This window comes from Homo sapiens, chromosome 13 (assembly GCF_000001405.40).
Source record: "Homo sapiens chromosome 13, GRCh38.p14 Primary Assembly".
Lineage (NCBI taxonomy): Eukaryota > Metazoa > Chordata > Mammalia > Primates > Hominidae > Homo > Homo sapiens.
The window spans coordinates 75,842,345-75,870,290 of NC_000013.11; the positions used below are offsets into that span (position 1 = coordinate 75,842,345).

At 38.9% G+C, this 27,946-nt stretch overlaps 1 protein-coding gene across 56 annotated transcripts in view; it reads left to right on the plus strand.

The window, feature by feature from the left end:
• Positions 1-17,526, plus strand: part of LMO7 (LIM domain 7) — a 239,437-nt gene extending 221,911 nt beyond the window's left edge. For 42 of the 56 annotated variants that reach the window (NM_005358.5, XM_047430323.1, XM_047430329.1 and 39 more), the window contains 7 exons: positions 507-572; positions 2,983-3,035; positions 6,735-6,948; positions 10,748-11,044; positions 12,916-13,024; positions 14,162-14,264; positions 15,577-17,526. In NM_005358.5, the coding sequence (NP_005349.3) occupies positions 507-572; positions 2,983-3,035; positions 6,735-6,948; positions 10,748-11,044; positions 12,916-13,024; positions 14,162-14,264; positions 15,577-15,599 (865 nt within the window). In that variant the 3' untranslated portion in view covers positions 15,600-17,526. The remainder of the gene's footprint in view (positions 1-506; positions 573-2,982; positions 3,036-6,734; positions 6,949-10,747; positions 11,045-12,915; positions 13,025-14,161; positions 14,265-15,576) is intronic. The other 14 variants (XM_047430317.1, XM_024449359.2, XM_047430324.1 and 11 more) reach the window with 3 other exon arrangements.
• The last annotated feature ends 10,420 nt before the right edge of the window (positions 17,527-27,946 follow it).

Consider the following 27,946-nt stretch of genomic DNA (forward strand, 5'->3'; position numbering starts at 1 on the left):
ATCTGCTTGGAGAAGTCATCAAATGTTTGTGTGTCTTGTGTTCTCATTTTCTTCTAGTTTCTGCTCAAACATCACCTCCTTAGACTTTTCTAGAATACCTGATTTAAAATACAGGCCCCTTCTCACTCTTTCTCTCTGTATACTCTTATTTTATATTGTGCATTTATTTGTTTATCTGTTAGCCTGCCTGCTGCAGTAAGATGTAAGTGCTATAAAGTCAGTAAGTTTGTTTTGTGTACTCCTATAGCCCATTCTTAGAGTGGTACTGGAATATGGTGGGGACTCAGTATGTATTTGTAGAATGAATGGCTTGCAAATGTCTGTTGGCAATAGTGGGTCTATTTTCTGTGGTTATTCATTGAAATACCTTTGTATGTTTAGTTTTTAACCCAAAGACCATTTGCATAAAGAGGCTAGAATGACATTATTTTGATACCCTTTTCTTAAACTCAGGGAAGGGCTTAAAGTCTAATATTTTGACAACAAAATCTTTTTCTATCTTTTAGGCCTGTTGATTCCTATGATATACCAAAGACAGAAGAAGCATCTTCAGGTTTTCTTCCTGGTGACAGGTATGTAGAGCATGTTATTGTAATTTAATTGATGATAATGGCTTCAGACAATATTCCAGAGCTTGCATCGATGATTTGTAGAACTACTTTAGCCCTTTGTCATTTGTGGGGTATAAAGAGGAATTGCTGGTTGATCTTTGTATCAGTTAGCTTTTGCTGTGTAACAACTATTCGTGAACTTAATGAATTAGCTTATGATTTTATGGTCAGCATGTTAGGCTGATCTCCCTTGGGCAGCCTTTTAGTTGACTGGGCTTGCTCATATATCTGCTACCTATTAACTAGGCAGCTCTGCTTTTGGGGGTTGGCTGGCTGTCAGCTGGGGCTGTGAGAACAACTGGGTCATGTGCCTTTTGATATCCGCTGAGCCAGGAAGGTCTTATGTATACGTGGTGGTGAGGCAGGGGAAAGAGAATTAAAGAGAGGAAATCTGCAAGGCATCTTGAGGTTTAAGTTGTCTAAAGTCACAGTCACAGGTCGTGGAGAAGAGAAGAACACTGCCTCTTTATGGTAGGAATCACATTGCAAGGGGAATGGACACGGCCGGGAAAGAACTGTGTCAATTTTCTGTAATCCAACATAATCTTCATTTTAAAAAGGTTATGAATAATGGCTTCACATTACTCCCCAAAGGGTTATGTATGGACATCTGAAATGGGAATGGTGACATTTCTCTGAGGCAGTTTGGTTAGAACTACTGGTCAGTTTTGGGGAATAAAGATAAAATTTCAGATATCTGGAAAGTTACATGTATCTTAAAATTTCCTAAAACATTGTTTTAATGTTTTAAAGCAATTTTTAAAATGCTTTGCAGTTTTGAAATCACTAAGGACTTCTAAACAGTCTGTCAAACAAATATTGAGGGTAGGGCCATTACCTTGTGTTTTCAGAGCTGAAATTTCTCCTTTTGTCTTACTTATTAGATATAAGGAAAGACTTGTATCTACAAGCAGCCGGGATGACTGAATAGGGCTCAGAATAAAAGGGGAAAAGGAAAGGGACAAGCAGGTAGTAATGGGCTGACAATAAGCTAAAGAAAAATCTAGTGATAGATGACCTTGTTTATAATCTTTCTGGGTAACTGTAAATCATTAAAATGTTTATCTCCTTTTAAAAGTTATGGATTTACTTACATATTTACAAAAACTTTATTTATATAGCTCATGACCTTGGGGAAAATAATTAAAATGCAGAGAAAGGAAACTTAAGGAAGCCTGGAAAATATGAATACCTGCAGGCAGTCCAGATAAAGCATGCCCTAGAGGCATCAAGGAGTGTGGCTAGACATCTGGTAATAAGTGTTTTCTTCTATGTTGATACAAGTGAAATTATTCACAAGTGCAGCTGTCTACCACTTATGATACATTATGTATTATAAATTATTGGATTTACACATATGTAATATATACATATATGTACATAAGTATAATATTACATATTATAATGTATATTATATATTGTCATTACTACTATTATTTTCTTTTTCTTTTGTTTTTTTCTTTTTTTTTTTTGAGACGTAGTCTCGCTCTGTCGCCCAGGCTGGAGTGCAGTGGGGTGATCTCAGCTCACTGCAACCTCCACCTCCTGGGTTCAAGTGATTCTCCCACTTCAGTCTCCCAAGTAACTGAGACTACGGGCGCATGCCACCACATCTAGCTTGTTTTTGTATTTTTGTAGAGACGGGGTTTCACCATGTTAGCCAGGGTGGCTTCAAACTCCTGACCTCAAGTGATCCTCCCGCCTCAGCCTCCCAAAGTGCTGGGATTACAGGAGTGAGCCACCAAGCCCAGCCACCACTATTATTTTCAAAGTTCAGTGTGTCTAGCAGAATGGGAATGAGATTAGCATGTGTTGATTTATACACCTACATTTTATTGGTACAAACTTAAGGCGTTTCCAGAAGTTGACTGTGCTGTATGCTTTAGTACCTCTTTGGAACACTAAGATGGCATTTGGTAAATTAATGTTCCACAGTAGTCAGTGGCACTCTAATGCCCAAGAAGTTGACATGATAACCCTGGGGAGTGTGGGGGAAGTGGGACAGTCTGACTGTAGGTGATCTGATGGCAGATGGTTTGTAAGCCTGGTAGGACTGAGATCTGGACCAGGGTGAACATCGACAACAATTGATCAATAACTTATAGTCTTCATCATCATACAAACTGGAGAAGTACTGTCACGTGTTTGTATCTATTTCCAGCATTTCACTCTTCTCTTTTTTAAGGATGTCAAGGTTTTCTGTGAGTTTGTGAAAGATGAAAAATTTCTTGGTTTAAACATAATTGCTCTCAGCAGACACAGAAAATAAATCAACTGCTTTAAAAAGCAATCTCTTCGGTGTTTTTACTTCATAAATATAAAGGAGGTTATTTAATGAGACATATTTAATATATTGTGTTCTGTGTTTTAGGAATAAATCCAGATCTACTACTGAACTGGATGATTACTCCACAAATAAAAATGGTAAATGCGATATTTTCCCCCAAACTCCTTCAGAGTTGCTTATTTGTGGTATCATGTTATGAGAAGTATTTTTAAGGTCAAGATATTTCAGATTCATTAAGATTACTTAATTAAAATACTTAGTATTTTAACCTCTGTATATAAAAACAGCAAAACAACTATCTTGTGTTTACTTTTGGCTTTATTTTATATTGAAAAATACTGGGAGATTAAAATGGTTTTAAATTGCTAATGAAATATGTGGGAATTTTGCAAAGCGATGCTGATGCAGCTATGTATAGTAGATTTTATCTTGCAGCTGAAGAAATAGTACAGAAAAGATGTCTACGAAATACTGGAGGACTTAAAAATTGCATACTAATTCGAATTATACATGTAAATGCCAAAATGTCAAAAAATCAAAAATTATGACTTCAGTAATTGTGCAGAAACAATTTGGACTTGACATTGTCAGTATAAAATATGTTTCTGAAGAATGCATATAGCAGAAATTATGTAACTATGAAAAAAAACCCTAAGCGGTAATTACCATTTTAAGCAGGGTTTGCATATCAGGATTTGCATAAGCAGGCGGCTGGTCATTTACATGAATGAATGAAGGTCCAGGTAGGGCTGAGGTCAACATGCCCATCATGTTGGATAGCCACTGCCCAGCTCCAGCCTATCATTGCCATGCTGGAGAAGGCAACCCTCTGCCTACTCTTCCTGTTGTAACAGAAAAGTTAAAAAAAAAAAAAATCTGTTTTCATGTGTTATCTTTCATGTGCTGACAAGAGATTTTTTTAAAAAACTAAAATGCCCTGTGAGCAAAACAACCTATCTACAGGCCAGATAGTCTGGTGGCAGCTAGTTTAACCTCTCATTAAAGCTTATAGAACTTACAGTTTTTATTGGGATTCACAGTTCTATGATTATCCCTTTCTTTGAGCAGTTAGGACCTTTGTTATCTGGTTCTAGTTTAACTTTCCAGCTGATCTTGCTATTTTTCTGTTAATGGGTCCGTAACTATAACCACATTATTATCTTTCTCAGTTCCCAATTTATCACGTACTTTTCTGATCTGGTTCCTCTGGTCTTACCTTTCCCTATTTGTATTTTCCATTTCTTCTCCCCTGAACTTGCCTTTAGCCACCATTAAAATTATAGTTTTAAGTACTTCAGTATTCCATGAAATATTTTTAACCTGCAGCGATTATATTATCTCTCCTGAACATAAACACAAGACCTGTCAGTAACTGCAACTGTGAATCTCCGGAATAATCTTGTTAATATTTGTGGCTTGTGTCATTAATCGGATTATTTTGTATATATGTTTTCCCCCCTTTATTAACTCATTGCAAGCTCTTGGATAGCAGGCAGTGGAAGTTATTAAATATTTGATTTAAAAACTTGGTTATACCAAAATGACACTTTAAAAAGAGGCCAGGCACGGTGGCTCACGCCTGTAATCCAACCAGCCTGACCAACATAGTGAAACCCCATCTCTACCAAAAATACAAAAATTAGCCAGGCGTGGTGGCATGTGCCTGTAATCCCAGCTACTCAGGAGGATGAGGCAGGAGAATTGCTTGAACCCGGGAGGCAGAGGTTGCAGTGAGCCGAGATCGCTCCACTGCACTCCAGCCTGGGTGACGGAGCAGACTCTGTCTCAAAAAAAAAAAAAAAAAAGGCAACATTTCTTTAAAGTCTGACCAAATTGATAAGCTTTGTATGTACACAAATGTAAGTATAGTTGTATAAGAAACCTTTGGTCTTGCTCATTGCTTAGTGGAAGATGAACCAAGGCATAGACAAACAATAAATTTTGAAAGAATGGCAGTAGCAATAAATGTAGAGAAAGAAAATAAATCCTTAGATGCAATTTCCTAATCCAGATTAAGGTGGGAATGATACGTCAAAGTTGTGGGTGTTTTACCCCAATCAGAAACTAATCGCCAAATCCAAGAGACAGAGTCCTCACGATAAAACCTGACTTAATTGTCATGAATAAATTCAACATTCAAATTATAGTTCTGTCAGCTTCTTAGAGTAGAAGCAAGTCTAGTAACATTTATGGATGATTATTTGGATTGCTTGAATATTTTTCCTGTTCACAAAAGCCATTTCCATGATTGAGTGTGCTCTTACTCTTACAATTTTGGTTGTCACTTATACCATGCACACTTGGGTCATGTCAGCCAGAGATATGTGCGTTTATGTCCTCTCTCCCCAGGGAGAGTATATATTTTTTGAGAGAAGAAAACTCCCTGTTTCCTTTTAGAGTTGTTACAGCAAGCATTTGAGCATGTTCTTGATTGATTTAATTTAGGAAAGGAAGAGTGGAAGAAAAACTATGTCTAGATGAGCACTTTGTAACTGAGTAATACTGAAACCAGTACTGATTGTTGCCTTTTTGGGCAGCCTTTTTCATTTTCCCAAGTGTGTTCTGTGGTGTGGCTCTGGCTGTGGAACTGGACTTTCTGGAGTAGGAGACAGTTACTTTATGTTCTCATGCAGCACCCTCACTGAGAATTGATAATGTTAGCACACGTGCACAATGCCACATTTTAAGCTGCACTGCCATGGGCGATTTATCCAGTCACTATTTATTTATTTATTGAGGCTGCAATTTCAAATACACTTTATTTATTTGTTACATCAACTCCATCTCTCCTCTGTCATTTTGTATTTGTATTTTTTATTTTTAAATTTTTTTATTTCCATAGGTTTTTGGGGAACAGGTGGTATTTGGTTACATGAGTAAGTTCTTTAGTGGTGATTTGTGAGATTTTGGTGCACCCATCTCTCGAGAAGTATACACTGAGCTGAATTTGTAGTCTTTTGTCCCTCACCCCCTTCCCACCCTTTCCTGCTGAGTCCACAAAGTCCATTGTGTCATTTTTATGCTTTTGCATCCTCATAGCCTAGTTCCCACTTACAAGTGAGAACATACGATGTTTGGTTTTCCATTCCTGAGTTACTTCACTTAGAATAATTGTCTCCAATCTCATCCAGGTTGCTGCAAATGCCATTAATTCATTCCTTTTTATGGCTGAGTAGTATTCCATGCGATTATCTATCTATCTATCTATCTATCTATCTATCTATCTAACTATCTCACATTCTCTTTATCCACTCATTGATTGATGGGCATTTGGGTTGGTTCCACATTTTTGCATTGCGAATTGTGCTGCTATAAACATGAGTGAGCAAATATCTTTTTCATATAATGGCATCTTTTCCTCCTGGGTGGATACCCAGTATATATATATATATCATGTTCTCTATCCATTCATTGATTGATGGGCATTTGGGTTGGTTCCACATTTTTGCCTTGCAAATTGTGCTGCTATAAACATGGGTGAGCAAGTATCTTTTTCATATAATGACATCTTTTCCTCCTGGGTGGATACCCAGTGGTGGGATTGCTGGATCAAATGGTAGACCTACTTATAGTTCTTTCAGGAAGCTACACACTGATTTCCATAGTGGTTGTACTAGTTTACATTCCCACCAGCAGCGTAGGAGTGCTCCCTTTTCCCTGCATTCACACCAACGTCTATTATTTTTTGAGTTGTTGATTATGGCCATTCTTGCAGGAGTAAGGTGGTATCACATTATGGTTTTGATTTGCATTTCCCTGATCACTAGTGATGTCAATCATCACTGTCACTTTTAAAAGGTACTAATCCCAAAGCTTTTGATTTGTTTTTAATTTAGGAAACAATAAATATTTAGACCAAATTGGGAACATGACCTCTTCACAGAGGAGATCCAAGAAAGAACAAGTACCATCAGGAGCAGAATTGGAGAGGCAACAAATCCTTCAGGAAATGAGGAAGAGAACACCCCTTCACAATGACAACAGCTGGATCCGACAGCGCAGTGCCAGTGTCAACAAAGAGCCTGTTAGTCTTCCTGGGATCATGAGAAGGTGCGAGACATCTTAGGAATTGGTTTCTTGTCTTTACTGTGAGGCAGATATTTAATTTGTAGACATCCTGGTGCTTTGGACAGAAGAGATGAAAGGAACATAGAGCGAACGCTCTGGGCACTATTATGTGTCAGTTTACATGACCACATCTAATCTGAGGAAAACATATTGAGGTAGGGATAATAATTCTGGCTGTTTTTTTTTTTTCTTTTTTTTTTACTATGAGGGAACTTTGACTCAAGCAGGCAAGACGCTGACAAAATCACATGGTTAATAGATTGCAAATCTGGATGGGGCATTCTGAAGTGAGGTTCAGATGCTTAAATAATGCACAGTGCTCTTAGAACTTTCTTGGCTGCTGAACTTCAACAAATAGAAGTTTCATATTTTTATATTTCTAATGAGATAATGATTAGATTGGAATCTTGATAATTGGATTCACAAAGTGATAAACCTAATTTTTATAACTTTAAGGAGATAAAGGTATAGATATTAATTGGAAATGAGTGCAGGAACATTTTAAAAGATGTATCTTGGGTAAATGAATGCAGCTACTCTGATTCAGTATTTTCTTATCTGACAGACTGGGGAATTTATTTGTAACATATCACAGAGAAAGAGCTAATTATGTCAATATATTAATAACTTTGTAAAAATCAGAAAATTATCCCTACCAACTCTATAAAAAATAGATGTGTGCCTGTAATCCCAGCTACCCAGGAGGCTGAGGCAGGAGAATCACTGGAACCCGTGAGGCAGAGGTTGCAGTGAGCTGAGATCTTGCCACTGCACTCCAGCCTGGATGACGGAGCAAGAGACTCTGTATAAAAAAAGAAAAAAGACAAAGGGATATGAACAGATAGTTCGTAGGAAAAAGAAACACAAAGCCAATAAACACAAAACATCAATACTAGTCCTAAAACAATAATGTATCTCTTTTGCTCACTGGATTTGTAAAGAGTTAAAATTGATTAAATTTAATATTGACAATTGTATATGGAAATAGGAGTTCTTCTTTCCACTTGGTTGGACAGTTTTTCAGTATGTATTAAGCAAAAGTTTATATATCTGACCCTCTGAGCAATGTAGTTTCTAGCACTCTATCTTCTGGATATATTTGGATAAATATGCAAAGGTACATTCAAGGATGTACACTTACACATTATTCATTAATGGCAAAAGAAAAGAAAATCACAATGTCTGCTAGTAAGGAGATACTCAGTAGTTATTCAATAAACAGTGGCATACTGATCAGACAGAACACTATATGACTATTGAAGAATGAAAGAAAAGTGTTGCTACATAATATGCCACCTCCAAATTTAGTGAGTTAAGACAGTAACTCACAATCTCTCACAGTCCTGAAGATTGACTGGGCAGTTATTTGCATGATGTTGGCTGGGACACTTGAGCAGCTGTAATCATTTACAGTAGGGATTGGTAAGCTTTTATGTATAAGGACTAGAGAGTAAATAATTTAGGGTTTACAGGCCACATAGGTTTCTGCCACACATTCTTTTTTTTTTTTAAGACTCTTTGAAAATGTGAAAAAAGTCTCAGCTCGTGAGCTGTGTCTATCTTGGCAGTAGGCTGTAATTTGCTGTCCCCTGTAGCTGTAGAGGCTTCACTGAGAGCTTGGCCAGAGCTACTAGTTGAGGGGCCTGTGTTCTGCATATGGGCCTCTCCACATAGTTTTTTGGGCTACCCCATGGCATGGGACCTGGGTTCAAAGAGGAAAATCTCGCACCATGGCAATGCCTAATAAGCAAGTGCTTATCAAGCTGCCATGTGCATCATGTTTGCTGATGCCCCATTGGCCAAATTAGTCATGTGACTCACCCCAGAGTCAGTGGGAGGGGACTACACAAGGGCGTGGATACCAAAAGGCATGGTTCACTGGAGGCCACTGAAGTACAGTCTTATCATATGAGCAGAATGACGATAGTTCTAAGATAATACATATTAAATGGAAAAGAAGTTATTGAAAACTGTGTTGTGGAATAATCCATTTGTTTAAGACTGTTAAACACAAGCACATTGCATATGTATATAGACACATCTATACTTACATATGTAAATTTGTATGTATGTGTAAATATGTGCTTGCATATGTGAGAAAAGGTCTGGAAGGACACACAAGTAATGGTGGATACCTCTGCGGGTTAGGGCAGGTGAGTCGTGAGACAGGAAGGACTTTTCTTCTCCCTCAGATGCCTTTCTCTGCAGCTTCAGTCTTTCTCCTTATGATAATGTATCACTTTTATAATGTTAAAATTTAAAAGAAAAATTTCAAGCTTGGGATAAGATAAAGTTTTGAAAGCAATAAAAATAAATGTGACTAGGTAGATGAATTCTCATAATTTTGAGTTCATTTTTGTAGGTAGTACTAATGTTAGTACATGAATTTTAAGAGAGATTTTGCAAAAGTTGTATTTAAATCTATTTGGGAGCTAAATCTGATTTTAAAAGAATATGTACTTTAAGGGAAGTGGCTGATAAATGCTTTTATAATGTGGACATTAAACAGTTGCTAAATTTAGGGATTCAGGTGCTACATAAATGAGACCTTCACAGGAGGCATGGTCTGGGTTGTTTTAGAGGACTTGGGTTTGAAAGCCAGTGCCACCATTGACTGGCTTTTCCTATGACAAACTCACTTCTGTAAGATTAAAAAAAAAATCTTAGTGTTATGAAGATTCAATAAGTTTAATATTTTTGTGAAGGTATCTAACCTAATGCTTGTGATATTTAAGCTCTTAAAATGTATTTCTTTGAATTTTTAAAAGGCTTTATATTTGCTATGTCTAAACTGTTGAAGATTTAAAGGATAAGTATCAATCTTCTTAGACTTAGTAGAGTATTAGCTCTTATTTTAAAAATATTTTTCTTAGTGTATTTCTTCTGTGGTTGGTATTTATTGTTTTACCTAAGCACTGAGTAAATAAAAATAAAAATAAACAAAGGTGTTCTCACTTGTAAGCGGGAGCTAAACATTGAGTACATATGGATACAACGAAGGAAACAGTAGACACCCATGGCCAACTTGAGGGTGGAGTGTGGGAGGTTGAGGATCGAAAAACTACCTCTCTGGCAGTCCACATATTACCTGGGTGATGAAATAATCTGTACACCAAACCACCATGACATTCACTTGACCCATGTAACAAACCTGCACGTGTATCCCCTAAACCTAAAATAAAAGTTGGAAAGAAAACAGATTAAAAAAAAGAAGGTTGATTGACTATGAAACATGATGCCACTGATGATGAAGATCAACTTTACTTGTTAAAGGTAATTTTACAGGTGGTTCTCAACTTTCAGTGGTTCGACTTAAGATTTTTGACTTTACAGTGATGTGAAAGTGATAAGCCTTTGTGGAAACTGTACTTTGAGTACCTGTATGACCAGTCTGTTGTTGACTTCCAGTACGGTATTCAGTAAATTGTATACTTGACACTTTGTTGTAAAATAGGCTTTGTGTTGCTTGATTTTGCCCAACTGTAGGCTAAGGTAAGTGTTCTGAGCATGATTGAGGTGGATTAGGCTTAGTTACAATGTATGGTAGTTTAGGTGAAGTAAAAGTATTTTTGACTTACAGTATTTTCAACTTATGATGGGTTTATTGAGACATAACCCCATCATCATACATCAAGGAACATCTGTATATGTAACTAGAATACTTAGATTAATATCCACATATAAAATATAAAAATGGATTTTTAATGAATGGAATGATGAATTAAATAGATTTCTAGTTGAACATGTCACATTATTTTGATGAGTCTTTTTTGTGTTTCAGAGGCGAATCTTTAGATAACCTGGACTCCCCCCGATCCAATTCTTGGAGACAGCCTCCTTGGCTCAATCAGCCCACAGGATTCTATGCTTCTTCCTCTGTGCAAGACTTTAGTCGCCCACCACCTCAGCTGGTGTCCACATCAAACCGTGCCTACATGCGGAACCCCTCCTCCAGCGTGCCCCCACCTTCAGCTGGCTCCGTGAAGACCTCCACCACAGGTGTGGCCACCACACAGTCCCCCACCCCGAGAAGCCATTCCCCTTCAGCTTCACAGTCAGGCTCTCAGCTGCGTAACAGGTGAGGCCCTTGCTGTTTCTCTTTCTTCTCTTAGTCTTGGGTATTTTTTCATTAAAATATCCCCCAAATCCTGTCCAAGTTTTCCAATGAAGAAGAAAAAGAAGCCCTTTTGAATGTGTCAAATTTGGTATTCTAGTATGAAATCAATGAAGGCTTGCTTAATACCATTCCATGCAACTCTAATAGCATTTCTAGATGTCTTGTGAAGCCACTGGAGACTTTGAAGGTGTCTACTTGTTGCCATCGTCTCATTTGCCTGTGTTTGTGGTCAGTGTCTTGGATGTAAGACATACCAGAATACTTCTCAGTGTGGAATCATGAAAACATATAGCAGCTCACGAATGCTTCTCAAATTTCTGAGTGAAATCAGTATTGTCAAATAGCTGACTATTTTCATGACAGTGTCATACAAACTCACAGGAACTGAGTGTAAAAGAAGAGCGTTACAATGCTTTTCCGGGCATGCTCCATCGTCTGGGGGACTTCTGACTAGCTGGATTAAAGAAATGCAAAGTCGGATAGATCTTGCTTTGGGGGTTTTTGATTGCGAAAATAATTGCTTGGGCGTTCTGTTTGCCCACATTTTGTTGAGGCTACATCAGCTGGATTCGGTGGGGAATATGGTGTGGGAAGTGTATATGTTATGATAGGGTGTTATGTTTTTATGTGGAGTGAAGCTCAGATATCAGCCCTGCTTGGGTTTTTAGGTCTGGGTGGCTTCTCCACAGATCTTTCATGCCTCATGTAAGTATATGGGGCAGTGCTGCTCTCCTCACCCCAAGAAAGTGCTGTTGGCATGTACTCCTTTCCATCACAAATGGAATACTTCAAAGTAGAAACACATTGATTAATATTAAGACTTTTTAAAGCCATCAGATAAGAGACTTTCATAAGAAAACATGTTTTATATAAATCCAAAATAATTTTACAGGTACTAGTATATAAAGTGTGTATCAATGAGTTTGAATTGAGAGAACAGAGGTGAAGATTTAGGGTAAATTTGGGTACGGTAGGGAGGTGCAGTCTATGGGATGACAGGAAGACAGAGGAGGGGGGACCCATTTACTGACGGAGAGACCCACTCTGGGAGAGCAGAGGGAGGGGCTGAGGGCTTTTCTGACCTAAGAAGGTCCTGATCTAGGAGGTGGTCCTCTTAAGCGCCGTGCTCATGCTGTGGGGGTGCAGAGATGTGGAAGAACGGGTGCCGCCTTACCAACTGGGAGAGGAGAAAAGACCTGTATACAAAAGTAGAGTAGAAATCCTCCTCCCCTCTCTCCATGGCAGCTGTTAGGTACTTTTCATTTCCTTCCCTGCAGAGACAATCCTGTAAGTCAGAGGCACAGTCAGGAAAAGCACTGACATTTCTCTGTAACTAGAAAACTGGGTGATCAAGAAAGAGGGCGAAAAATAAGTCTGAGAAAAATAGGTCGTAGAGGACTTGCAAAGCCTCTTGAAGAAAGCTGGGGCCACCCTTTTGGTGCTCTGAGGGGGTAGGAGGACATGATCAGCATTGTGTGCTTTGGTTTAACTGGCAAGAAGATGTAGGTGGATGAGATGAGGGGCGACTATTGCTGAGTACAGATGTGATCAAAGGAAGATAGTATCAGAAACTGCAGGATGGACTAATTACACTGAAATTGCTCATTTATGTGAATAGGTGTCAAGGGTCTCAGAGCTGCCATGGAGATGGTTCAAAGTTAGAGTATAATCAAGGCACTCTTTAGTTGGCTGGTAAAAGTTATTCTCCCACAGATATATGTATAGAGCTTTTCTTAAATTATTATCAGTGTTAATAGCAGAGTGTGACTTTTAAAGAAGAATCTTGAGCTGCCCAGGTGAAAGCCTCCATTCCATTCTTGTTCTGCATCTAGGTCAGTCAGTGGGAAGCGCATATGCTCCTACTGCAATAACATTCTGGGCAAAGGAGCCGCCATGATCATCGAGTCCCTGGGTCTTTGTTATCATTTGCATTGTTTTAAGGTGAGACTGAGACAAACAGCTTGCAGGCCTGCAAAGCTTTGCTTGGAGAGCGCATGGCTGCTTTGAGCCGCTGGGTGTAGATGTGCCACTAACAAGCTAGGTGCTGTATTCGTCCATCTGTGCTGCATTTGAGTCACAAATTGCTTGCTCCTCCCTAGTTCTCAAATCTTGAACCTTGTTTTAAAACTTAAATCTGGAAAAATTTTGCATTTTCTATTTCTAATCTGTTAGAATTCTATACATTTACAGTACATAAGTTGCTTTCTCTAAGATGCTGTCAGAGGCATACTTGAAATATAATTTACAAATAACCTACTAGTGTTGTTAAGGGCAGGGACACATGCAGTTATCACAGTGTCTGAAAGCCTAGCTTTGAGTAGGAAGAATATGTAAGGAAAACCATTACCATTGTAGCTATTTTTATAATTGCACAGCCTGTTTATACCTGATAGGTTTTCACACATAAGAAGGAACTAAGGCTGTAATTGTTTGGTTTTGTAATCTCTGTCTCTAAAGACATATCTGTTTGATTCTTGAACTTGCATTGGGCCAGAGAAAGATTCTGGTTGTTGATCCTGGAGGCCCGCAGACCACAGCTTGTTTAAGCCTGTCCATTGCTGGCTTGGGCTGTTCCTAGGCACAGCAGAATGAGTCAAGATAATTAGAGTTTGGGCACATGGAATCGAAATATCCAGCCTTGAAGTGAGGCGCTGTGTGGGAACACTTGCTAAGCTAGTGCAGCAGGGACACTGGGAGCGGCCCACCCCAGGGTGGAGTGCCAGGGCCCAGCCTTCATTCACTCTGGCCACTTCTTTCATGGGGGGCCTTACCTGCCATTCCTCTGGGGGGATAAAAACTAAATTTCTTAAAGTCAATCAGCAAATTATTTCTATTTTTGGGGAGTATATTTAGACTGGTCATCTTGGCTCTTAATATTGGCTTTATGAATTCTTTAACATCTTATCTGGCGGTCTTGATTTGAATCTACTAATCATCTTTCGGCCTTTTTTTTTCTTTGCTGAAATGTATCTAAGAGCTTAGAAGTAGCATTCTGCTCATTTCCCCCCCACCCCCAGGAGTGCCCCAAGCTTTCTTGAGCTGACTGATTGTAGATGTTCTTTTTTTTTTGTTCCCCAGTGTGTTGCCTGTGAGTGTGACCTCGGAGGCTCTTCCTCAGGAGCTGAAGTCAGGATCAGAAACCACCAACTGTACTGCAACGACTGCTATCTCAGATTCAAATGTAAGAGAGCAAATCAGAGAGAAAATTTCTTGCCTTTTAAGGAGGCCACGGGTTCCCATGCATTTCCCTGAACCTGCAGCGAGCTCCCCTCCAAGTTCACTGCCATAGGATTCCAGGTTTCAAGAATTGTAGTGTGTTCCCTTCAAAGAGTGTGTATAGTGAATGGGTCACTGCTCAGGGTTCCAGCTACACAGGAGTGGGTTGTGGGGCCAAGGAATGGAGAGGAACAGTGTCCAAAAGTCAGGATGGTGTCTTGTGTTATCTGCCCAGAGTCCGCAGAGACCTTTAATGACTCAAGAATACAAACAAACCAAAACACTTAAATGAATCTTCTATGTAGGATTTGTTTCTTGACTAAAGATTGGTCCCTCATCAACTTCTATTATTTAACAATGGGCTTTGATTATGTGATTTAGAATATGACCAACTTTAAAAAATATTGTTCCATGTAATACAAAATAAGTCAGTTTATGCTTTATGTTAATATATGTCAATATATAATTTTAAAAGGAAAGTATTAACTATGGTGTTTCAGTGTCATTTTTGGAAAAAATGAGTTTTTCAAAAAACTTCAAATGCTACTTTGCATCTAAGCATGTGTTTGTGTGTTATAAAAGGTAGGCTAGCATAACTAGGTTGTGTGTTGTGTATAGCTACAGCAAGACAAGTATTACTGCTGTTTTATATTTTAAACCTTGATGCTGGTAACATGTGTTTCTTCCTTATTGTGAAAGGGTGTTACAAGTGGTATCAGCAAAATCATTTGCTTTTGAACTCTGAGGTATTTATATGGCCCCTATGTGAAGAGTGCTTTGGAAATGGTTTAAGCCCAGTCAACTCTCTTTTATCTGTCGGTGGGTTCTGAGCCTTCCTGCTGCAGCTGTCCAGTCCTTTCCTGGATGCTGACACTGAGGTTGGAGAAAGTCAAGGCTGGGCATGTACTGGTGGGGGGTGTGTGTATGTGTGTGTGTTTTTCTCTCTCTCATCAAATTCCAAAGCCAAATAGAAATGATTTCTGGAATCACCATTGTAAAATTGCCCATGCCTTTTCTCTCCTCCAAAACAAATAATAGAGAGTTGAGTGTAATTTATTTCTATTGTGAGCAGTTCATTTTTACTCCATTTTTACAAATAAAGAATTCCAGAGACGAGACACTGAGACTTGCCTAGCTTTATCCTAAGAGTGAGTGACAGGTTACTCTTTCTACCTCATTGGGCCACTTTCTGAGTGATGACTGCTATGTATCCCAGATGGCAATATTCACGTTTCTGAATCTAAGCACTTTTCTTTCTTTTCTCCTTGCCCGATCAGCTGGACGGCCAACCGCCATGTGATGTAAGCCTCCATACGAAAGCACTGTTGCAGATAGAAGAAGAGGTGGTTGCTGCTCATGTAGATCTATAAATATGTGTTGTATGTCTTTTTTGCTTTTTTTTTAAAAAAAAGAATAACTTTTTTTGCCTCTTTAGATTACATAGAAGCATTGTAGTCTTGGTAGAACCAGTATTTTTGTTGTTTATTTATAAGGTAATTGTGTGTGGGGAAAAGTGCAGTATTTACCTGTTGAATTCAGCATCTTGAGAGCACAAGGGAAAAAATAAGAACCTACGAATATTTTTGAGGCAGATAATGATCTAGTTTGACTTTCTAGTTAGTGGTGTTTTGAAGAGGGTATTTTATTGTTTTTTAAAAAAAGGTTCTTAAACATTATTTGAAATAGTTAATATAAATACATAATTGCATTTGCTCTGTTTATTGTAATGTATTCTAAATTAATGCAGAACCATATGGAAAATTTCATTAAAATCTATCCCCAAATGTGCTTTCTGTATCCTTCCTTCTACCTATTATTCTGATTTTTAAAAATGCAGTTAATGTACCATTTATTTGCTTGATGAAGGGAGCTCTATTTTCTTTACCAGAAATGTTGCTAAGTAATTCCCAATAGAAAGCTGCTTATTTTCATTAATGAAAAATAACCATGGTTTGTATACTAGAAGTCTTCTTCAGAAACTGGTGAGCCTTTCTGTTCAATTGCATTTGTAAATAAACTTGCTGATGCATTTAACGAGTGGGTCGTCTTTTTCTTAGGTGTATGTGTCTGACCTCAGGCCTTTTAGCCATATTTCAGTATGTGGCCTTTTTTGATGTTATGTTTTATCCAGTAGCTTTACTAAGGTATAATTGATGTAATAAACTGCATATATTTAAAGTGTATACTTTGACAAATTTTGACATGGTGTATACCTTCGAAACTATGCCACAGTCTGGATGTGTTTACTGAAACATTTTAATAAGGAAGTTTATTTTTGATAAAGTTATGTTTTTGGATACAATATATTTGTATGGTGAGAGTGATGAATTGTTGGATCATTTGAATAAAATCTTTTACTAACCCCATGATAAAAGGAGAAGACAACAGTGAGCTTAGAATATCTATAAAGCAAAAAATGTAGTCTCTTGTTTAAAAAATCTGGAGCGGGAATGCAAGGATACAAAACTTTAGCATGCTTTGAGCAAAAATTTAAACTTACTGGAATCTTTTATAATAATGTAAGTGGAATGGAGGATTCTAGGAACTGAGAACTGTATTGGAATAGGTTCAAAATATGTAAGAAATGCTAATGTGGGAGATAAAAATTTTATTTAGTACTTATTCTGATTATTATTAAAGTAATAATGTGTTCCTTGAGGATAACTTGTCAAATGCCCCAAAGCATAAAGAATATAATTCTGAATCCCAAATTCCAAAGACAAGAACTCTGTGTTTGAATTCATTCTGCATATAATTATTTATAAGTATAGATTGTGAATTTTTCCATGTTCTTAAAATTATTTTTATCTTTTTTCATGGTTGCATAGTGCTCCATTGTTTGGCCTTGGTAATATTTAGTTGATAATTCCATTACTGTGTATTTTTCACTTGTTTCTAAGATCAAACATTTTAATATGTGCATGTTATATATAAATATGTAAATTCTGTGATACTCTATGATCATCTCTTTCTTTATATTATTTTCATAGACATGAAATAGTTGCTCAGAGATTATGCATTTTAAGACACTCATAGTATATATTGCCAAAGTGGTTTCCAGAAAGGCACTGCTGGCTTCGACTCCTATAAGCAGCACGTGGGCTTGTTCATCTCACTGCATGTTTATGAAGATACAGTTCTTTTGCCTTGTTCTCTGCCTGATGTGTATGCAGAGGCAGCCCTCAATATGCAGTGGTTGAATAAATGAATGAAGAAACCACTATCAATTTCTGCCTTGTTAATTCTGTTTTCCACTGTCCCCAGAGGATGCCTTAATTCTGCCATCATTTTCGTTTCCTTATCCAAAATCCTTTCTGACCATTGCTCCTTTTCATCTAAGCCTTTTGTCTTTTCATCTGCTCTTGTTTTCTTATGATTTTTTCCCCCATTTCTCACATTATCTTACTTAGTGATAACATTTCTGTTAGTACAAATTATAAGTACAGTTTTCAGAGCTATTTTCTTCTAGGATACCGGCTCTACATTTGTATAAGCCCTTGGGTATTTGTTACTTCACCTAGGAACAAGGGAAGAGTCCAGCCCTTCAACAAATTTTTTAATTCATACTTTATGCTCCAGGCACTGCTTTTGGCACCATGGGTAGAACAGTGAAGAAATACAGTCTTGGCTCTGATTGGTCTTATTTTTCTGGTTGAGGGAGGTGATAAAACAATACATGAAAAAATAACATGCAGGTGGCGATGAGAGCAACAAAGAACAAATACTGGGTAAGAAAGATGCAAGTGCTGGAAATGGAAGTTTGACAGTGCTTTTTATACAGGTGGTCAGGGACAGCCTTTTGATATTTGGGCCAAAGCTTGAAGAAATGAAGGAACAGAGACTTGATGGAAAAGCATTCCAGACACAGGGAGCAGCAAGTGACAAGGCTTGGCGCAGGAGAGTATTTGGTGTGTCCAGGAAGCAAGTGTGGTTGAGTGGAGTGAGTGTGGAGGGTTTAGGAGCCATGGGGAAGTGGAGGGCACAGAGCAGCAGTGGTTGCAGGACATGGGGTCTTATATTCTGAATGGAAGAGAAAGACTCCGGAGAGTTCTGAGAAGAGGAATGAAACAAACTGACTGTTGTGTTAAAAGGACTGCTACAGACTACTGTATGAACAAGACTGCAGAAGGACAGGCAAAAGCAGGGAGACCAGTTTGGAGCCTATTGAAATTATCCAGGCAAAAGATGACATATGCTTCAACAGGATGGGTGTAGGGGAGGTAGTGAGGAGAGGGAAGATTGTAGTGTGTGTGTGTTCTGAAGGTGAAGCTGGTAGAATTTGATCAAGATTGGATGACGCAAAAGAGGGCGGAGTAAAAAATGAATCTGAAATGTTGGCCTGAGGAGCTGGAAAAATGGAATTGCCTTTTTCTGAAATGGAGACGGTTACGAGTAAAGCACATTTGGGTAGGGTGATCAGAGATTTGGTTTTTAAGCATAGTGAGGTTGAGCAATCTATCAGATACCTCAATAGCAGTGTTGAGTAGGCAGCTGGCTATGCAAGGGAGAGGCCCAGGCTGGAAATACAGAGTCATCAGTATGTAGAAGGAATTTCAGCTGAGAATTGCGGGGACATCACCTGGAATCTGACTGTAACTAGAGTGGAGGTGATGTACAAGGACTGAATCCTGAGGCCCTCCAGCACTAGAGATCAGAGATACAGAAAAGTGAGCGAGAGAGAACCAAGACCCTGGTGCCCTGGAAACCAAGTCAAGACCATATTTTAAGGAGAGAGGCCTGTTGTGTCAAATGCTTCCCAGAGATCCAATAAAATTAGGCCTGAGGGTTGACATTGGAAATCAGTTTGCAACGTGCCTTTTCCCTGATCATACACATGTTTGTGTTTGATATTGTCCTTCTCAAAGGTTCAGTTGGGGGCTCCTCATGTATAGGGTAGCTGGCCCAGTTTTCAGTGCCTGGCTGTATTTAAATGGACCTGATGCTCTTGCCCAGTTTTCCCAGGGAGATAAGTTGAAGGGTAACATAGAAAGCCATTTCTAGGCTACTTACTGTCTGCACCCTTCCCTATAATGTACTAGCAACTGGAGCTGCACTTCCCAGTGTGTTGTATGTCACCTCAACACACATGAGATCCTTCTCCTCCTCCCTCTGCCCTGTAATTTCTGAGGATCACAGAATATTGTGGAAATAAAGGTTTTGGGGTTGAGGCTACCCTATCTGCCTCAGAGGTGCAGAGCTGGTCAGCTGGGGGGCATTTCTGCTCTGCAATGTTCTGATACAAACCCTAGGTCTTTTAACCAAGATGCAGGCCAGTCTGTCTGATTTCAAGCTACAAACAAGCTTTGGTCCTTAAGTTTTGACACATAGTTCAGCTATGTGGTAGTTGATGGAAATCCCCTCTAGATTCCAGCATTAGTTTGCCAGTTTTAAATCTTAACATTAAGAATTTTTTATTTTCAATGTGTTTATGCTTTGTGGGAAGCAGGGAGAAGCTGAATAAAAAAATTGCTGTCTACATGCCATATTAAGGCATAAGCTAGTTTTGTGATTGATTTAGAGATTGCATTTTGCTCTGTCACCCAGGTGATCATAGTTTACCACAGCCTCAATCTCCTGGGCTCAAGCAGTTCTCCTGCCTCGTCCTCCCAAAGCACTGGGATTATAGACATAAGTTACTGGATCTGGCCAAGTTCTTTGTTTTGGGATGTCATAACTGTTCCTGAAATCTACATCTTCATATCCTTGCCTTACAGGCAGTAGATACAGGTGTATTCTTTAGGCATTCATTTCTTCAGTTGATATATTTGAGAATTACACGTGGTTAGGTAATTAAACCCATCTTTCCTCAGTGCTGAGCCAATAGGGAACCTTTTAGGAGGTAAGGATGGAAAATATCAGCTTCTTTTCTGCTGGACAACTTCCCACTTGGATTGAGCTTAATGACGAAGCATCGAAGAGAAGGGCCCTTTGTCTTCTGTACTTATGGGCTAACCACATGGAGGACAGAGGACTGCATGTGGCCTGTGGACAGGCAGCTTCAAAGACAAGGTCAAAGAATAGTTCAGGGTTCAGGCCACATGAGTGGCCACTTCTAACATTCAGTCTTTCCCAAAGGGGGTGGTGTTTGTCACTCCTCCCTCTATGGGGAGAAACAAGGGAGCAGAGTAGAGAGAAGAATGATTTCTTCTTCCAATAGTCCTGAGAAAACAAATGTTTCTGGGTTGGCATGAATGTAGAGGAGGAGAGAAGGTGATTTTACTGTCTGTGTGAAGGCATGGAACATCTTCAGTGCCCAATTTAGGAAGGAAAGCGGAAAAATTGAATTTGTTCTGCTTAAGAATTTAATCTTAGCATTTTACTTGAAATGTTTATGTAAGAGTGAAAACTAGCCAAAAAAGGGTGAAACTCTCTGAATTTCAATGCATAGGCACAGAATGGTAACTACTGCCTGATTGCTAGAGTTGAGAGACATGCCTAATGGGGTGCCTCAGGGTTGAGATTTTACTTGTTTTATTTTGCACTTTAACATCCATCCTCACAATCTGGAGGAGGGATTAGAAGGCATGCTAATGCAAGTCCCAGTTCATGTCAGTAAAAATGACATTTAAAAAAAAAAACAAAACTAATTTGTGCTTAAAGTCCATGCATAGGAGGCAGGAAAACAACTTCCAGATTCTTTTTCATGAAACGTGTAGATACTAGGAGTTTATGTGATGAATATAAAACAATCGTTATTCTCACAGGGAGAAGAGAGGCACATACCCAAAGTATCCTAGTACATGGTAGAAGAGACAAGGACTATGAGAGAGTGTGTGAGGAGGGAGGAAGTGACCTGACAGCAGAATTGCTGTTTAAACCACACATTTAAGGGCAGATACAATCTTAACAAATCATGTGGAAGGAACAAAATATTATTTCTCAGTTAAGATAAACATCCCAGTGATTCTTCCCTTGTTTTGTATTCCTGCTGAACCTTACAGAGTTGGCCTGTTTTGCAGAGGAATGAGCAGGTCACTCGAGATACTCTGGGTTGGGATCTCCAATGGCTGGGCTGTGCACTGGTACTGGTCCGTGGCCTATTAAGAACCTGGCAGCATGGCAGGAGGTGAGCGGTGGGCAAGCCAGCGTTGCTGCCTGAGCTCCGCCACCTGTAAGATCAGTGGCGGCATTAAATTCTCATAGGTGTGTGAACCCTATTGTGAACTGCACATCCAAAGGTTCTAGCTTGCAGTCTCATAAGAATCTAATGCCTGATGATCTGAGGTGGAACAGTTTCATCCCGAAACCATCCTGACCACCCCGTCTGTGGAAAAATTGTCTTCCATGAACCTGTCTGTGGTCCCAAAAAGGCTGGGACTGCTGTTCTGGGTGATAATGTATCCGCGAACTGGACCAAAAGACAAACGAATGAATAACTTTGGGACCTGAAGCCTGGGTGGTTTAGATATTCGTTGAAGGTGGAGATATTTCCTGTTTTGGATAGAGCATACAGCAGGGTGGACATACATTTAAAAATGTCTAAAGGTAGCTGGAAATAGGGTATTGGGTTTAAACAGTAAAAGAAATATCCATTGTATTCATTTGCATGCTCAAATTGACTTAAATATAAAGAAGTTTATTTCTTTACCTAAAAGGAAGTTGAGAAGGCTGATTCATCCAGCAGTTCAATAACGTAATTAAAGAAGCATATTCATGCTGGGCACGGTGGCTCATGCCTGTAATCCCAGCACTTTGGGAGGCCGAGGTGGGCGGATCATGAGGTCAGGAGTTCAAGACCAGCCTGGCTAACAGTGAAACCTGTCTCTACTAAAAATACAAAAAATTAGCCAGGCGTGGTGGCTTGTGCCTGTAGTCACAGCTACTTGGAAGTCTGAGGCAAGAGAATCGCTTGAACTCGGGAGGCAGAGGTTGCAGTCAGCCGAGACCGCGCCACTGCACTCCAGCCTGGGCGACAGAGTGAGACTCCATCTCAAAAAAAAAAAAAAAAAAAAAAAAAAGCCTATTTATCTCAGGCTCTTTGGCCATTCTCAATGTTGTCCTGATCCTGAGGCTAGTTACGACCATGGCTGCAAGACAAGTGAAGGGCTTCATGCTTCCTTGTTATTATCTCCTGGAAGAGAGACTGACTGCTTAGTGCTCTCAAGTGTGTAGGAAAACTTCCCAGAAGCTTTCAGCAAAATATTTTTGTTCTCATCGGCCAGACTTGAGTTATTCGTCCATTTCTGAACAAAGGGTAATCCCATTCTCATGGCAAACATGACCTCCTTCAGTGAAGACCAGCTTACAGTCATGTTATTGCTAACCGAAGGGAGTGTGATGAAATGAATGTTGGAGTCAACCACAATGTTTACCGTTGTTAGACTTTATGAATTACCTCAAAAATATGTACTGAGTATTTGCTTTATGCAAGACCTTGTCTTATTTTCAGTGAGTTTCTTAAACAATATAGGGAGAACAGGAGAGCGGACAAGGATCTTTCCTTCAATTGTACCCAACAAGGATCATGTGTGCAAGTAGTTACTTGATTGAAAATTTGATGTGTTCTAGAAAATATAAAAGATCAGCTTATGGTAACAGGTGAAGCATTGGGAACCTGGTAATTAGTGAATACTTGTAAAGCATGAGGAATATACTTGTTCAAATTTCTTATATAAAAGTTCATGAAAGCAAATCGTGAAACTAATAGTCAACCTTTTGTGATTAAATTTTAAACACTTTATGGATTTTACATGCCAATATCCCATGGTATTGTTTAACACAGTTTTAGGTGACCTATTAAGTGACTTGAATGTTGTTTGACAACTCTGTGTGAAGCTCTTTGCTACTTTCACTGTAAAGATCCTCAAACCTCTTTATAGAGAAGTATTTTTCACAACACTATTTCTGTGGAAGATTATCGTGACTCTTTGCCATTAAAATTCGATTGGAGAAGAAATAGGACTTACTCAAAATTCCCTAGGAGAGGCCCATTAGAATCAGGAAAACAATGCAGCAGTTTTTTTCTATGTTATATCCAGGATTTTAACATAAGATATTTTTGTGTTCTATTTGTTGTACCTTTTTCCCCTCCTCCCCAAAGTGCTTTCTTAGATCTATAATGAATTCTGTGTCATAGACCTGCATGCAAAGGATTGATCTGCCTGTTGCCATTTCAGGCTAAAATAGAGAGTTCCCCCTGCATTTGTCAGAAGCTCATTTACCCTTTCAACCTGTTTCACAGCAGCAGGAGAACATCCATCAAAGACGGCCAGAAGAACTCCTGGGTCAAGCCCTCCAGTCATGTATGCGCTTGAATCCAGTTCTACATCCAAATCAGACTAGCTATCTAGGATCTTTTAGCCATAGAACGCTACTTTTGAAGCCGTCTCAAGTTTAAATATATGATCAGGTTTAGAATGTCCACGATGCCTTCATTCTGCATATGTGAAAGTTTTCCTCTCAGGAATACAGCTCACAGCTACAGAGGAGACAGGAAAGACCCTCTGCCCTCCTGAGTTCTCCTTAATAGTGTTTATTGAGTGCTTTCTGTGTTTATTGAGTGCTTAGGGATACAATATTTTCATACTACCTTGCCAAAATTATGAAAATCAACATTAACAAAGTTATGAAAATTAACATTGATTTTTCTATACTTGGACTTAGTATCTGTTTGGAGTTCCATTCCATCTGAAGGCAGGACACAAAAATCTAGTTTTATCTATTTCTTTTCTACAGCTGCTTCTGATTTAATCCGGTCAAATCAGAATTTTGCCTCCCTCTCTCCTTCCCCCATCGGTGGCATCTAAGCACTGGTATGTTTGCATGGACAGTGTCATGGGCCTGTGGAAGCCCTTTGCTCTCCCTGTTTTTTTTTTTTTTTTTTTGAGATGGAGTCTCACTCTCTCGCCCAGGCTGGAGTGCAGTGGCATGATCTCGGCTTACTGCAAGCTCCGCCTCCTGGGTTCACGCCATTCTCCTGCCTCAGCCTCCCGAGCAGCTGAGACTACAGGCGCCGGCCACCATGCCCGGCTAATTTTCTGTATTTTTAGTAGAGACGGGGTTTCACCGTAGCCAGGATGGTCTTGATCTCCTGACCTCGTGATCCGCCTACCTCGGCATCCCAAAGTTCTGGGATTAGAGGAATGAGCCACCGCGCCCGGCCTCTCCCTGTTTTTTATAGCGATGTTCACTGCAGTGCCTGTTGATCTGTGTGGTCTTTCTAATGAGTTAGCCTTTCATGACACCCTCCTCTGGGGTGTCCACTTTCCCATCTGGCCCATGGCTAGAAGGTGTCTGCAGCACAGCCTACCCAGTATGCAGTGTCAACACCCATCCCTTCACCCCCCGTGTGTGACTTCTTTGGGTCAACAGGCATGCTCTGTCAGCAAAAGGTCATCTCTACCCTTAGATCCTTTACCACACCTACAAAGTCCCTTTGCCATATGATGTAACATATTCATAGGTAGCAGAGACTAGGAGGAGAACATCTTTGGAGAGACATTATTCAGCATACCACAGTCACTTTGATATTTACCAACTAAAAACATGAGTATCTTCCCCTCGCGGATCTGCTTCTTTAAGGGGAGTACATTAATATGATTTTGACTACAAATATTAATGTTTTTCTTAAATTGTCTTTATTATAAATGTGTGCTCATCACAAAGATGTGACGAAATGGCACTTGTAATCTCTGTCAGACCTAATTTTCAGTGGAGTAGTGATTATTTCAATGACCTCTACAATGCTCATTTGGTCAGCACATAACTCATTTCTTATGGTTAGTGCTGTCCAAAATGAAGTGCAAGATGATTTATTTGTATTTGTAAGAAGAAAGTATTAGAACACTTATGTGTATTTATATGTTTGAAAGTAAAAATTTTAAGTTTTTCTAATCACTCATGGAAGGATTGACACACATATGCCTGTCTTTTTGGCTGAGTTTGTCACACGTGGTATAGAGAACATGACATATTCTGAAGTCGAATGGGAGTTCCACACCGTGCAGAGGTTAATACGGGTGCCCTCTCTTGATCATTTGCTTTCAGCATGTTGTGATGTATTGTGGCATCACCTTGCAAGCAAGATTTTTAAAAACTAAGCAAGAAAAACATGAAGAAAAACTCCTACAGTTTTTTTCAGCGATGTTTAACGTCAAGATTTCAACCTATCCTGATAGGATATAATGTACTATCTGTAATCATAGATGTTTAGAAGCTTCCGATATTTTATTACGTAGTAGCAGATGACAGAGGTGAATACTCTTGCTCTTCCTTCCTTTAACCTTCCTGAGGTTAAAATCACGGAAATAACATATTGAAAATAACATGGAGATGCCTTTGTCAGCAAATTTTGCTGGAAGATGCACAGAAGACATTGAAGTCCAGAAGAAATGAGTATGAGAACAAATAATTCAGTGTGAGAGGTTTGCTACATAGTGTGTTTGTCCCCATCATATCTCAGCTTATGGTATTTGCAAAATTCTGTTGACAAAATACAAGAACTGCTACTACTAATGAGCCATCCAAAGAAAAACATTCCAGAAGACAAACACTAAACAATAAATTACTTTATTAAAAACAATTTATGATAAAATTGTAAGCTTACTGACTGTAACATTGATGGAATAGCTATTTTGGAATACAAGGATTCCAGAACAAAGTTTTAGAGAGCCTCAGATTTTATCATTATTAATATACTATTTTTACTGCATAATTTGTTACAAGTTTTAGCCTCAAAGAAATGGAAGCCAGAAATTTATAAATGTGGTTAATTTTATAAAAACAAGGTCTTTACTAGAGTAGAATAACACTTTGTAATGAGATGAAGAATGACCTTGAACATTTTGTTTTGTTACAAAATTGTTGGGTGGCTTTGTTTTCATTACTTTGGCCATAGTTAAAGATGTTCTACATTTTTTATTTTTCAAAAAAAAGCTTTCCAAATGTGTTGAACTTTTCCTTGATAAATGGTTGTCATAGTTTCCCTAACAGATATTTAAAATACAAATACAAACTGAATTATATTTTCTTGTCAGATAAATGTCACCATTTAAAAATAAATAAGAAAACATTTTGAAAGAAATGTGATAGACTGTTTTCAAAATTAATATTTTAAAAGTTCCCATTGTGGCCGGTCACCATGGCTCACGCCTGTGATTCCAACACTGTGGGAGGCGGAGGCGGGCAGATCACGAGGTCAGGAGAGCAAGACCATCCTGGCCAACATGGTGGAACCTCGTCTCTACTAAAAATACAAAAATTAGCCAGGCATGGTGGCGGGCGCCTGTAGTCCCAGCTACTCGAGAGGCTGAGGCAGGAGAATCGTTTGAACCCGGGAGCCGGAGGTTGCAGTGAGCCAAGATCGCGCCACTGCACTCCAGCCTGGTGACAGAGCGAGATTCCATCTCAAAAACAAACAAACAAGTTCCCATTGTTATACATTTTTTTGCAAACAAACTAAATATTTCATGCATAAAAATTCTCATCAGAAATTAATATGTTTAAAACTATTTTCAGATGATATATTTTATCAGGGTTTGAACAAATTTATGCGAATATACACAAAAGGAAGAGTCAGTGACTGCAGTGGAATGGAAATTTACTAGCTCATTTTTAACAAAGCCTCCACTTAACTGGTACATACCATTGAGTAATGAGCTCCATGATTTAGTAAACCAGCCATAGACCAACTGCTTTCACCTAATTTTTGTATCTGCATCCGTTTGTGATAACCATGCAGACCAAGGATGCCCACACACTAGCTCACAACCAAGTCTCCAATCTTGGTCAACCAAGATACTTTGTAAAAATAGAGACTATTTAATCATACTACATTTGAAAAAAAAAATTTTGAAGGAGGCATGTTTGTTTTTTTATAAAGCTTATAAATAGTGAAAATACTGCTTTTATCTCTTTTTTACCTTTTTAGCATAGTTTAATGATATACACAAAATGTAGTGCTTTATGTATGAGATTTATGTATGAGATTTATACATAAATATGCATATTGGGGGCTATATGCATCTGTATTTGTTTTAAACCGAAGTGCCTTACTTAAAAAGATGAGATTAAAAGGTTTAAAGCCCTGGCAATGGAAAGCCAAGAGAATGAAGTAAACTGATGAAGATGCCTTTTAATTCCCTGTCGGGTCTTCCCATCTTACAACCTTGTAATGTATCTTTATGACTCCATGTGAAGGAGATTGCATTAAAACACATTTGCATCTTTGGAGAATTGGAGTGTTAGCCGTAGGATGCACTCTTTTACTTGTTTTGTTATACCTGTAGGAGAATCTTAAACCCTTATACACGAATCTCCATTTGAAAAGCTGTTGGTGATCAGATAAAACACTGTCTCCTCTTAATTTTTTTTGCCACAAAAAGCTGTTTGTCTCGCAACTCCTTGAGGGTTCAATTCAAGTTTTCTAATTATTGTGCATTGTCTTTCTGGCAATTAGCACTTAGAAAGAGGGACAGGATGGTATAAAATGTGAAGACAGCAGTTTAAGACTGACACTATCTGAGGCTTAGTGGCTTCCTGCGCATGTAACCTTGATGACCTTACTTTTCCTCCCCGTGCCTCAATTTTTTCACGTGTAAAACAAAAGTGAAACAGGAATCACTAGTAGCACCTCTCATGAGCTTCTTGTGACCAAGAACTGAGTAAATTCACGTGAAGCTCTTGGAAAGGTGGCTGGTGAATAGAAAC